The following is a 14,610-nucleotide window of genomic DNA, read 5'->3' as shown; positions in this document are numbered from 1 at the left end:
AAATAAAATAAAATAAAATAATAATAATTCTATAAGAAAACTCTGACTTACATGTTTAGAATAGAGTATAGAACAAGCAAGTACCAGGGTAAGGGATAAGTTAGGTAGACATTGCAATAATCCAGATGAAGAACGATGAGTAGCCAGGACCAGGAGAGAAGCTATGACAAAAATAAGAAATATAAAAATTCAGCATAAAATATTAAAATTGATCTTACCGAATTTTTCTATTTCTCATTGTTTTCATAGCTTCTATCCTGGTCCTAGATTTGGTGTAACATATTAAAAATTGATCTTGCCAGGCATCGTGGCTCATGCCTATAATCCTAGCACTTTGGGAGGCTGAGGCAGGTGGATCACCTGAGGTCAGGAGTTCGAGACCAGCCTAACCTATGTGGAGAAACCCTGTCTGTACTAAAAATACAAAATTAGCTTGGTGTGGTGGTGCGTGCCTGTAATCCCAGGTACTCAGGAGGCTGAGGCAGGAGAATCGCTTGAACCTGGGAGGCAGAGCTTACAGTGAGCCAAGATAGCACCATTGCACTCCAGCCTGGGCAATAAAGACTGAAACTCCATCTCAAAATAATAACAATAATAAGTAAACATAAATAAAAATTGATCTTGATTGGATATGAGGTATGAGGAAGAGAGCCAAGGACAGCCTCAAATTGTGACCTGAGCAAATGCAAACATAGAGTTGTTATTCACCACTTCGGGAAATGCTGTAGGAGAAGGTTGTGGGACAGAGAAATTAGGATTTTTAAATTAACAATGAGATGCCTTTTATACATCAAAATGGAGATGCATATAAAACCATGTGAAATATCCATATGGAATTCGGGAGGGGGTGAATGTAACATCAGCAGTCAACTTGATGAATTCCAAAAGGTAACAGCAAAGAGAATATAGAGTTTCAAGATTGACAGTATCACCACAGAGGTCACATAAGTGGGTCATCAGTCATGTCAAAGCATAGGAGATGGCAAGGCAAAAAAAAAAAAAGAAAACAAGAGAAAGAGGTAGAATATAATAAACAAGGCATGACTACTTGGTTCATGGGGATGTTTAAACAGATGAAGACTGAGATACTGCCACTTCACACGTGGAAAGGAACAAATTTATAAAATAAACTCTCTCAAGACCTCTATCCTGGATCATTGATATTCGGTCTAATGGTCATTTGGCTCAATTTATAATATCAACAGTGGAAAAATAACCCCAAATATTCTACAGTAGGTAATTAGTCAGATAAATTATATTACAATCACAGGAACACAAAACATTTTATAACATGTAGAAAATTTGTGAGTCCTGATGCTGTCACAGAACAAGCGAGCCTCTTTCTGCACAGATAGAAGAACCTCTGGGGAATTACTGGAAATGTTAAGAAAGAGCGATATTAAATGCTGGACTTTCTACAATCAAGTACTGAGTTGCTCAGAGTAGTAGGGATTTGTCTTGCACATTCAATGTTACTACACTTTAAATCATGACATAATAGGGCATATGAGATAATCATTTAAATAGGAAATCATGGATTAGTCATGACGGTTTAAACCTGTATAAGATATGTTATTTGAGCAATGAAGTTAACAGAACCAGTGTGAGAGTAAAATCGTGTCTTTAGCCTATATAAGGTTTTAGAATTGAATAGGCCATTGCTCCAACTCAAGTCCATATACCTCAATCTCAAGATAATTCTTTTGTGTAAAATCAGAAATACAGACAACATAAAATAAATAAAACAAACTTAAAAATGATATAAAATGTGTTTTAGACAGATGCATTGATTGATTTGTGAAGTGTTAAATATTCTCAAATATTTTTCTTTCTTAACCATGGGCATAAAACATAGTGTTCACGAGACTGGAATTTCTAAAAGTTATTCAACATTTATATACATCTTACAGTCTTTTTTATGAGGTAGCTAGCATATTTTGTGTGTTAGGTTTTTCTCATATTGTAACTAGAAACAATGGGGTAACTACCAAAATAGAAAATAATTTATTATGGGAGAGAGTGGAATCAAATGCAAGCAAGTATTGCTTGCCAGCAGGGAAGAGCTCCTTCTGCAAGATAGGAGGCATAATGTTGCCTGAAAACTGCATAGTTTGCCGAGATGACAGTTCATGAAAGAGTATGTAGTCAAGTGGTAGTTAAACAGAAGGAAAACTCAGTTGAGAAATTCCATTATGGAGAAAGTACCTGTCTTAAATTTCTTGGAAATGTCAAAAGGAGAGCAGAGAAATTTCTACAAGGATCCTCCTATTACAAAGGAATTTTCTCTATAAGGTTGCATGCCAGAATCAGGCATGTTTTTGGCTCTTGCAAAAAATCTGACAAAAACAAGAAATGGGGAAACGATTCCCTATGTAATAAATGGTGCTGGGAAAACTGCTAGCCATATGTAGAAAGTTGAAACTGGATCCCTTCCTTACACCTTATACAAAAATTAATTCAAGATGGATTAAAGACTTAAATGTTAGACCTAAAACCATAAAAACCCGAGAAGAAAACCTAGGCAATACCATTCAGGACATAGGCATGGGCAAAGACTTCATGTCTAAAACACCAAAAGCAATGGCAACAAAAGCCAAAATTGACAAATGGGATCTAATTAAACTAAAGAGCTTCTGCACAGCAAAAGAAACTACCATCAGAGTGAACAGGCAACCTACAGAATGGGAGAAAATTTTTGCAACCTACTCATCTGACAAAGGGCTAATATCCAGAATCTACGAAGAACTCAAACAAATCTACAAGAAAAAAACAAACAGCCCCATCAAAAAGTGGGCAAACGATATGAACAGACACTTCTCAAAAGAAGACATTTATGCAGCCAAAAAACACATGAAAAAATGCTCATCATCACTGGCCATCAGAGAAATGCAAATCAAAACCACAATGAGTTACCATCTCATACCAGTTAGAATGGCGATCATTAAAAAGTCAGGAAACAACAGGTGCTGGAGAGGATGTGGAGAAATAGGAACACTTTTACACTGTTGGTGGGACTGTAAACTAGTTCAACCATTGTGGAAGTCAGTGTGGCGATTCCTCAGGGATCTTGAACTAGAAATACCATTTGACCCAGCAATCCCATTACTGGGTATATACCCAAAGGATTATAAATCATGCTGCTATAAAGATACATGCACACATATGTTTATTGCGGCACTATTCACAATAGCAAAGACTTGGAACCAACCCAAATGTCCAACAATGATAGACTGGATTAAGAAAATGTGACACATATACGCCATGGAATACTATGCAGCCATAAAAAAATGATGAGTTCATGTCCTTTGTAGGGACATGGATGAAGCTGGAAACCATCATTCTCAGCAAACTATCACAAGGACAAAAAACCAAACACTGCATGTTCTCACTCATAGGTGGGAATTGAACAATGAGAACACATGGACACAGGAAGGGGAACATCACACACCGGGGCCTGTTGTGGGGTGGGGGGAGTGGGGAGGGATAGCATTAGGAGATATACCTAATGTTAAATGACGAGTTGATGGGTGCAGCACACCAACATGGCACATGTATACATATGTAACTAACCTGCACATTGTGCACATGTACCCTAAAACTTAAAGTATAATAAAAAAAAATTTTAAAAATCTCTAAAATCAGTAGCATGAAAATATTAGCCATAACTAATACTATTATTATCTTATACTCTTATCATCTTATACTATTAGTATTATAACTAATACTATTATTATTATCATGGCTATTATTGTTGTTGATATTCTATAAAAATGGAAGAGATCCTCATATGTAAAAGGAACTTATGGGGAAAGTCATATCATCAGTTTTCATTTAAGTCTAGAATGATTTTCTAAACTTATAGGTCATATAGTAGCTTCACAGATTAGAAATCTGGTTTTGACCATTGTAAGAAGTCTAGAGAGCTTGATAGGAAAAAAAAAAATGCCTCCTTTTTTCCTTCTTCAGGATGAACTTGCTTTATATTCAAGCATTTATTCAATCATTCATGCATTTAAAATATATTTATTACACACCAACTATATATCAAGCAGATATCACATACCAATGAAACGAAAGCATTTCTTAAAGAAAGAGTCTGGGATTTGGGAACATATTAGTATGAAATTCTCCCAAACAGTGGTCCCTGAACAGAAAGCTCAGGGGAGCCAGAAATCTTTTGCAGAAACATGCTTGATTTCATTCCACCAGAGAAGAAATTTGTGTGCTTCCCACCACACAAGCAACAGAAAATTATAAGCATGCGCTCCACTATCACATGATTTTCCTTATAATAAGCAAGAGTAATGTTATGAAATTCAAATGCATACAAATACTTGTACTTCTCACGAGAGACCTAAACAAAATAGTAAAATGAAAAATTTTATTTTTACTGCTCTTTCAATTTCTTTTCTTCGGAACAACTTCTATATCCCAAATCTTATTTTCCCCTCTTCTTAAAGTGCCCTTTAATTTTGTTCTACATTCAATCTCTCCAAGTGCATGCATTGAGATTCTTCCTTTCCACCCTCTCTTCCAGAATCTCTCGTACTGTTATTTATTGCTCCCTTAAATTACACACACACACACATACACATACACACACACACACACACACATTCTCTTTCTCCAAATGACCGCTTTTCAAGTATTAGATCATTTAAATTATTTTAAATATAGTATTTCACTGGTAAGAATGACCACAGAGTCAGCTGAAAATTTTAAAATGAATAAAATTATCACATATTCATATAATCAACCCCAAAGCTGTGAAAACATACATGGAGTTTAGGAAATCAGAGCTGAAAAACAAGGCCTCTGATGCAGACTGACCTATGAATTGATTTATTGACCATCTGCTTTATCATTAAGGATTGATGGCAGAAGCAAGAATGCTAGAGTGAAGTGGAAGAGCTCGTGCTAAAGTCTCTGACTGATCAGAACTAATTATAGAGAGCTAATTTTCCGAAATAATTGCACAATTCTCACATTTCTGTTACTTCTTCTGACTTCCTGCCCAGAATTTCTACCTGACTCATTTTACTTTTCTCTGTTTTTAAACTTTTAGTTCAAGCCTACACCTTTCATGAAGCCTTTTAGAACTGCACAGGCCATGGAACTGCCGTGGCACATGTGGCTATGGCAACTTTATTTGAATATCTTCTACTTCCATGAAAAAAGCCCTTTGAAGCAATGGGGCATAACTGTAATTCTGGGTATTTTTACAGGAAAAGACACTGAGAAGCATTTTTGTGCTTTAATGATAAATATATGATTTGAAGAAACAGAGAAAGTTCTCTAGGAAAGAAAGAAATTTGAATTAGAATGTGCAAGAGAGCAGAGGAGGAAGAGGAGAGGACTTTGTGGAGGGCAGAATGAGAGAAAGTCAAGCATCTTAGAAGTAGAGCAGGGCCTGTCTCCAAGAAAATGCTGCTGAGGATCAAAATCAAGAATGTTCAATGTAAGTTATTTGTTACATTTTGCTGTTTTTCCTCCTTCTTCTCAAATCCAGTAGAGTTTGCTGCATACACACAAATGCTCTGTGGGTCTCCTTTGAGGAAATCAAGAGAAAGGGGGTGTGTTTTACTTTTGGGGCTACAAACTTTGGGAATCAGAGTTATTGTGAACATAATTGCCCCCCTTCCATTTTTCCCTGAAGATATTGTGGTAATAACAGCTGTTTATTCTCCAATTACCTTTTTTCTACCAGTGACTCTTTCTGATGCATAGAAATTTTGACTGGCACAGTGAACCCAGCCCTAGAGAAGAGTGCCCTAGAGTTTAGATTTAGCATAAGGAGTAATATCCTATGGGGAAGCATCCACACTATTCCATTCTGTTAAGGTATATGGATACCATTCTATGTATCTATATCCATTCCATGTATTTATGTAGTATCTATATACTACATAGGTACATGGAATGGTATCTATATACCTCAACAGAAGTGTCTATATAATATCTATATACTACATAGATACATGGAATTGTATTTATATACCTCAACAGAATGCACCCCAGACTGGAAAATAGAGAATGTGTAAATATATGATTAAGAAGTGAAAATGCAGAGATGAATGAAACAGTCCCCTGTCATCCATTTACCTCAGAACTTATTCCATATTCAGGATCCCTTGTGCTAGGAAAAAAGCATTGTTTTCTAAAAATTTTCCCAGCCTTGGGAAAGAAGTTCTTGTTGAGGCACAACTGGAAGAAACACAAATGCTCATCTTTTTGTTATGGTGGCAGGAAAGAAAGATTTTCTGGACAAAATGTACCCTTGTGCCACCGAGGACTCAGTGACATGTGGAATTTTCCCATTGACCACTGGAAATATACTAACGGTGGATCAGGAGTGCTTGTGGAGCTGAAGCCTAGACAGAAAGAAACAGAATTTCCCATCATTTAATTATAGTGACAGAGAACCTGAAATTTCCAGCTAAAACACATCTACGTATTTCATGGGTGCATTTTTTCAGATTTCAATGTGCCTGAATTTCAATAACTTATGATTGTTGCCATTCAAAAGCAGATGTGATGTAGTCGTCATTGCCTTCCCCTGTGAATCAAATATTTAATATTATAGAACAGATGTCAGCTGCTTAGATAATAATCCTAGAGAAAACAGTGCAGAATTGTTTTAAGGAATGCTGGATCACCAATGCTCATGAAGCCACAGAGGATGAGTATATGTGGAAAAAAAAAAAAAGACACTGATGATTCCTGTTCAAAAATTTGAATTCTGAATGTAAAGTTTTAGTTTTAGAATTATTTAACTAATTTTTTCACTTACATTTCATTTTTTTAGGGTTGAACAAGAGTGACATATAAGAAAAGTGTTATTTCAATAAGAATAAAATAAAAGCTGCAAGTGATATAAAATATTTGGTCATAGTTAAATTGATAGAGCTTTTTTCTTCCACTTTCTGTGCTAGATATAATAACGGTGCACATATTATAGGTGGCATCTTAGATCCAATAAAATTCACTGTTTTGAAAATTTGGTCCTGGTCAAGCAGAAGCTAAAGTTTGTCTAGAAGTGCTGAGGAACAGAATTGAAAAGTTTAAGAACTACTTCAAAGAAAGCACAAACGTTTGCCTGAGGGCCTAGGTTAAAGGGTACAAGTCAGATTAATAATCTAATTTCCTAATACTTGCATGTAAAACCAGGCCCACATACACAACCTAAGAATTCAACTTTATTTCCATTTTTCCCTGAAGATACTGTGGCAATAACTACTGTTTATCCTCCAATTACCCTCTGTCCACCAGTGACCCTCGCGGATGCATAGAAATTTTGCCTGGCACAGTGAACCCAGTCCTAGAGAAGAGTGTCCCAGGGTTAAGATTTAGCGTGAGGAATAACATCTTAAGGGAAAGAATGCATATCATTCCATGTATCTATATACCTCAACAGAATGCACCCCCAACTGAGAGGTAGAGGATGTGTAAATATATGAGTAAGAGGTGAAAATGCAGAGATGAATGTCCTGGAACAGAGCAGTTCCCATTATCCATTTACCTCAGAACTTATTCCATATTCAGGATCCCTTGCGCTAGGAACTCCACCTGAAGAAGACTTCACAGACTTAGAAAGCAAACGCCTAGGAAAAAGATAACAGAACGAAACAGAACATAGGGGAGTAGAAAACATTTCCCTTTTATTTGCTTACATTGTCTCTGTGCCACATAGAAAATATACCATCTTCATTGTTCATGATTATTTGACATACATGATATTTCCTTGAAGCATCAACCACTTCAAGGAAACTAGTTGGGGAGAACATCGGAAAGTTTTAACTACATAATGAATGTATTTTTTCATCATTACATCATATTTGGGAAGCAAATTTAGAGACGACATTTGCGGGGTTCACAAAATTTTACTAGAGAAAAAGAGTAGCTTGTTGAAAAATTATTAAATTAGCTAGCACATAGTTCCATTTGGGAAGGATTTCTTTTCCCAGAATATATTGAGAAAAATCCTTTAAAGTAGAGATGAGGCTCAAAAAGATGTTGGAAGCAGACAGAAAGGAAACAGGTAGTGTTAAATGTATATATATTTGGTGGTGGAGAAAAGCACACGAGAAAGCAAGGATGGGACCCTGTGGATAAAACCAGCAAACATGCTGGTGTCCAAGAACTTGTGGAGAACAGTGGCCAATGAGCTTTCAAAACTACATTTTTAAGATTTAATAAATTGTAGTTTTTGGTATTCTTGTGGAAACAACCATATTGGTTTTTTTCCAGACCCATAATAAAATCAATTATACAGATTGATCATCTCTAATTTGAAAGTTTGAAATCTGAAGTGCTCCCAAATCCAAAACATTTTGAGTGCCATTTTGCTCCACAAATGGCAATTTCCATTAGGTACTGGGATGTCTCCTGGCAAAAGAAGGAAAACAGGAGCACAAGATGCTGTTTGTCCCATGTAATGTCACTCAAAACAAGATAGAAATGACAGGCTACTGTGCTGCTTAGTTATGCTGGATACATTATTTTTTCACTATATTAATGACAAGTTATATTTTCTACTGTTATGTACTTATGTGTGAATCAGCATAATGATTGCTTATCAGGAGCACATAAATTCAGAGTTGGGAATGATGATGATGCCAAACAGTCACAGACTGTCCACATGAGTGGCTGAGACAGTGACAGCTTGACTTTCTGATGGTTTGCTATACACAAGCTTTGTTTAATAACTAAGTTATTTCAATTTCTGTATAAAATTACCTTCAGGCTATGTGTATGAGGTACATATAAAATGAATGAATTTTGTGATTAGACTTTTGTGATTAGAATGAATTTTGTGTACTGTCTCCAATATCTCATTATGTATATGCAAATATTCCAAAATCCAAACAAATCAAAAATCTGAAATATTTCTGTTCCAAGCATTTCAGATAAAAGATACTCAATATGTATAAATTGGTTTTGTTTTAGCTTTTATTTGCTTATTTTGTTGTTGGTATGTAAATCAAATAGAATATACCAGGTCTCACATCTTGGACAATGTGGTCTAAAATAGTAGCAAACTATTTGGAATAGCAAGACAACTCATGAAGCCAATGATTCAGCCGAAGCCACAGGTGACAAAGAGGATGGAAAGTCAACCACTTGCTTCAAGTTCAAACCTTGGAGATACAGGAAAGTATGCAGAGCTCAAATGTAGGTGGAAGAGAGCACTTCAGTTTCTCTGTGTCTTATCCTGAAATAGTAGCTATCTTAACAAATATGACTTTTAAGAAATAGTAGATTCTATATCAAGTATAAAATTTACTAAATTTCATCTTTTTTAAAGGCAGTTACATTTTCAAGAAGGAGATTCTAAATTTTCAGCATCCAACCTAACACAATGACATACAACTATGAATCTAAATGAAAAAATAAATGTAAGTAAAACCCCAGTTATTTAGTAGTCATCGTCAACATTGTGGGATTATGTTTAAATTTTAAAACAAATTTTTTTCATATTTTAAACTTTATTCCACTTATGGGATTTAATATAATTTGATAATCTATTTTATAAAAATTTCTCACAACACTTACTATTTATTTAAAACCTTTCACCTGATAAATTTCCTTATTGTCTAATAGAAGAATCATGGACTTCAAGTCTTTTTATTTTAGGACATATTTTTTAAACTTTAAAAATAGATATCAAAGTTGTACCTATAGAAAGCCTAGCAAATTCCTGAGCATCTCAACATTTCAATAGCAAAAACTATTTTATTTCACACAATCTGTTCAATTGTCTCAAGTAATAGACAAAACAAAATATTTTTTAATTATAATAAAATTATTCTAATGCCTCATCTCGAAAAGGAATCACTGAAAATTTAGAAGCAATTCAGTTACACCTACTGTTTTTCTAACGCAGGATTTGATTCAAAGTTGGTAACAATAAAAAGTTTAAATTTTTTAAGCAATTTTCAAATATGGTTTACTCTTACTTTGAGGTTCACACAAATCACTTTCCCCTTAGTGATACAGTGAAATTACCTCTTTTTGTTTGCTCTCTCCCATTTTATTGTACAGTGCCAGCCCATCTCCTACAAGTGAAATAGAGATCTTAAGACTGACAGTCCATTTATTTCATTCCAGTTTGCGGCAGGATTCAAAATTTTTCAGTTTAAAAGATATTCCTTTAAGGCTGAGATTTAAGGATAATTTATTAATACATGTAATGGTAAGAAAGTACAGCCCCCTGTACGGTTCCTAGAACTGGGCACAGAATATCTTCCTCAGTCGTTTTGGTTTAGGTGCATAATTGCAGTCGTGCCATTTAATTTTCCTTCTTTCCTTCTTTCCTTCTATCCTTCATTTCCTTCCTTCCCTCCCTTCTCTCCTTTCCCTCCCTCCCTCCCTCACTCCCTCCCTTCTTTCCTTCCTTCCTTCCTTCCTTCTTTTTCTTTTTCTTTCTTTCTTTCTTTCTTTCTTTCTTTCTTTCTTTCTTTCTTTCTTTCTTTCTTTCTTTCTTTCTCATTTTCAGCAGAGGTAGGGTAAAATAATCTTTAAGGCACTTGCCACATCTAAACAACTAAAAATCCACAGTTAATGGAAGAATAGTTATTCTGAGGTAATAAAATACTCCATTCACTGAAATGTACCTTTGGAGGTACACATAGAATTACAAAGAAAGAGTTGACTAATTGGCATTAGAGAACTTAGCTTCAAGTTCTCCACTATCCTAAAAGTTTAGAATTTACAAGTCCAACATTTAAAAGTTTGTATGATCTTTGACAAGTAACTTAATTTCTCTAGACTTATGTTTTCTCATCCATAAAACGAGAATACGCAGTTATAGTGAACCTTGAAAGAAAAGGGTGCCAGCTATTATCATCACTGCTTCAGACATAACCCAAGGACATTCAAAAGATGCAGATTTGGTCATATGTGCTTAGAAGATTCTCTAGCCTGAAAGCAAGTACAAGAGCAGCTTTCTGGTCTGCAGGGTTATAAAGCTCTGCGAATCTGCTAAAAGAAATAAAAGGTCTGACACTTCTGAGGCCCATAATCTCTTCAAGGATATTGGTTCAATCCTCAATCCTCTACAGTTCTATAATCTCTTTTCTTTGTGGAATGTGCTAGTCCATTTCCTAGCATAGCTGGAAAGAAGTGGAATGTCTGGATGACTTCTTTTACCTTTCCACGCCTTCTCCTGAATTCCCTAATCAAAAATTTTTGCTTCAGGTATATTGTCTCCTGCGGTCAGTGACGATGATGTATTTTTGTTCTACCCTTTGCTATCCTGAGTGAAAATACTGAGATTAACCTATAGGACATGGGTTTCTTTTCTATTTTGATTTATTTACATAAATGACAGTGCTGGGATGTTTCACTCCTCTGAGAAAAAGCCAGGCAGAAAAATAATAGAAGTAATTTTCAAATCAGACCGCCTCATATCTGAAATGATATGAGACTATGTCATGGACAAAAAGAAGGAAAACACTTTATTCAATTTACAGAAACATTTGAGAGCAAGCTCTATAGATGTGCACACAGAAACATGTAATCATGCAGAGAAGAAAGATAATGCCATCGACTCCAATAAAATAATTGAAAATATAGGAAAAGAACTCCAGCTAAGACATTTAGTAGTTATGAGATAATAGAAGTAAAAATAAATGTAGATGTATCTGATGAAGCCTGGGTTTGGCTTTCACTAACATAATAAAGAATATTTTTTCTATCCCATAATATTTTTCACATTTTCAAAATGGCTTAATGATATTTCTTACATTTTGGTAATATCTTGGAATAGCCCAAATTTCACCTTGATCATCACACATAGGTATAGTCAAATGTCTGAGACCCAGGAAAATTTACATACATCAGCTCACCAAGGCAAAGGAAATGTCTAAGCATAGAAAAATTAGTGTGCACTGTAATACAGACCCTAAATTCTTCATTTCCAATTTCAGTATCCAAAAATCTCTAATAACCAAAATGTTTTTCCATCTAATGACAAAAACCAGACATAATGATAAAACCAGACATACCCTGATGTGTTTATTGATTTTTTTAACTTGCTTAAATATTTATAAAATATTTGTTATTTAAATATTCATATAACTCATATCTTTTGAAAGTATTAGCATCTATGATTAAGAGGTGCTGTCCCTGACCCCATTGGTGTATTAATATAATACAATTTTGGTACTATTGTAATGGCAAGAAGTTTACATAAAAGCAACCAATTTATATTCCTTTGTTTTGAATTCAATATAATATCTCACAAGAAATTTTAAAAGGAATAATTAGGCACACATTTGACAACTAAGAGGGCTCTCATTGGAAGGAACATTTTATGTCATAGATTACATCCAGAAGGCAAAAATGCAGTAATTTAAATAATTCAAGTTTAACGACCTTTCTTTTAGGAAGAAAAAGATTTTATTGTTTCCCAGAAATATCTAGCTTCAGTGATTACATTATCTTTATTAGCAAGAAAATTGTCATTTTAACACTCATTTTTGCCTGCTTTGTATGTTTGGTTAATCAATTAAGGCAGATAATCTAAATTATCACATCCATTTCAGACTGACACCTAAGTAACACATTTATCATTTACAAATTTGAATTCAGTGACACAATTACAGAGAACATAAATAAACCAAATGGAAAATAAAAATTGACTTAATTTTCTCAAAAATACCAGGTCAGAAAAAGTGATACAGATGCAGCTGTGCTTTTTCATTCTCTTTATTGTCTCCTGTTCATTAAAACATCTGCTTCATTTTCCCAGCTACTAAAGAGGCTTCAAGCCCTAATGGATTCCACACAGAGTTTTATGGTTTCTATTACTTGAGTTCTTCTCTTCCCTTTATTCATCTGAGGAACATCTTTCTCATAAATCATGTTTAACTAGACAATTGGTAGAGCGATTGTTGACATTCTTGTTTGCAAATCTCTCAAACTTTTACTTGTGATGATTATTTCATTTTTAAACGTAAAACTGCTTGTATAAGAAAACATCCATTTATTAGAATAACAAAATATTTAAAGGAGCAAACTCTTAAACATTAAATAATTATATACATATAAAGTTTAATGAATTGGCATGCATACGAATGCCTATGTACAGTCACATGCCACCAAATGGTGTTTTGTTCAAAGATGGACCATGTATACAATGGAGATCCCATAAGGTCATAATACTGTATTTTTACTGTACCTTTTCTGATATGTTTAGATATACAATGCTTACCATTACAATTGCCTGCAATATTCAGTACAATAACATATGTAGAGGTTTGTAGCCTAGGAGCAATAGGCTATATACCCCACAGCCTAGGTGCGTAGCAGGCTATACCATCTATGCTTGTCTAAGTGCACTCTATAATGTCCACACAAGGACCAAAATCACCCAGCAACACATTTCTCAGAATGTATGCTTGTTATTAAACTGTAAAAGGAGTCATTTGTTTCATATCTAACTGCATATGAAAATATACACATCAACATGAAAACATAAACTATGTATCTAATTATGAATGCTCAATACCATTTTTAAGACCATGAATAGGTAACTGTGGAATTGTTCAGTTGTCATAGTATTTTACATAAGACTACGATAAATTGAAGACCTAGGAGGTTGACATTATTTTGAAAAGTCCACAGTAACCACAAAGCTTTTTAAAAGGTCAAACCAATAAAATGAAAAAGGATGAAAATAAACAGTCATTTGAAGATTATTAGCATATATTAACATGTAAGAGAAATAGAGACAGAAGAGAAAGACAAATGGAGTTTCTACATTGAAGAAATGTGTTCTGTAACAAGAGAATAACAATTAGAACAAAAACTTTCCAGAAATATATAGAGACATAATTTTATTATAAGGTGGTTTCCTTGAATGGCAAGTTTTTAAAATGGAAATTTAGTCATATCCGTGGAGTATAAAAAATTTTTTGGACAAATAAAATATCCTACAAATGTCTGCATATGTCTCCTACATAAGCAAGAAGAAAATCAGGTTCACTTCATCATCTTCTCTCTCAGTGTGAGAGGGAAGTAGATGTATCTAAAGAGTAGGGTAGGGATGTCCAATCTTTTTGCTTCCCTAGGCCACATTGGAAGAAGAATTGTCTTTGGCCACACATAAAATACACTAACACTAGCTGATGAGTTAAATAAAATAAAAGCTCAAAAAAACTAGTAATATTTTAAGAAAGTTTGTGAATTTGGATAATGGCTTCCTCAGCAAATTAACACAGGAACAGAAAACCAAATACTACATGTTGTCATGTATAAGTAGGAGCTGAATGATGAGAATACATGGACACATTGTGGGGAACAACACACACTGGAGCCGGTCTGAGGGTGGGGGATGAGATGAGGGAGAGTTTCAGGAAGAATAGCTCATGCATGCTGGGCTTAATACCTTGGCGATGGGATGATCTGTCCAGCAAACCACTATGGCACATGTTTACCTATGTAACAAACATGCACATCCTACACATGTGTCTCTGAACTTAAAACTTGGTAATCGAAAAAAAAAAAAGAAGCTGAAAAACATTAATTTAGTTGCGTAACAGCCAGTTTGTAAACAGGACAATAAATAACTGCTGACACTTAAAAAAAAAAAAAATTACGAATTTGTCT

This window comes from Homo sapiens, chromosome 5 (genome assembly GCF_000001405.40).
Source record: "Homo sapiens chromosome 5, GRCh38.p14 Primary Assembly".
Lineage (NCBI taxonomy): Eukaryota > Metazoa > Chordata > Mammalia > Primates > Hominidae > Homo > Homo sapiens.
This window is presented reverse-complemented; position numbering follows the sequence as displayed.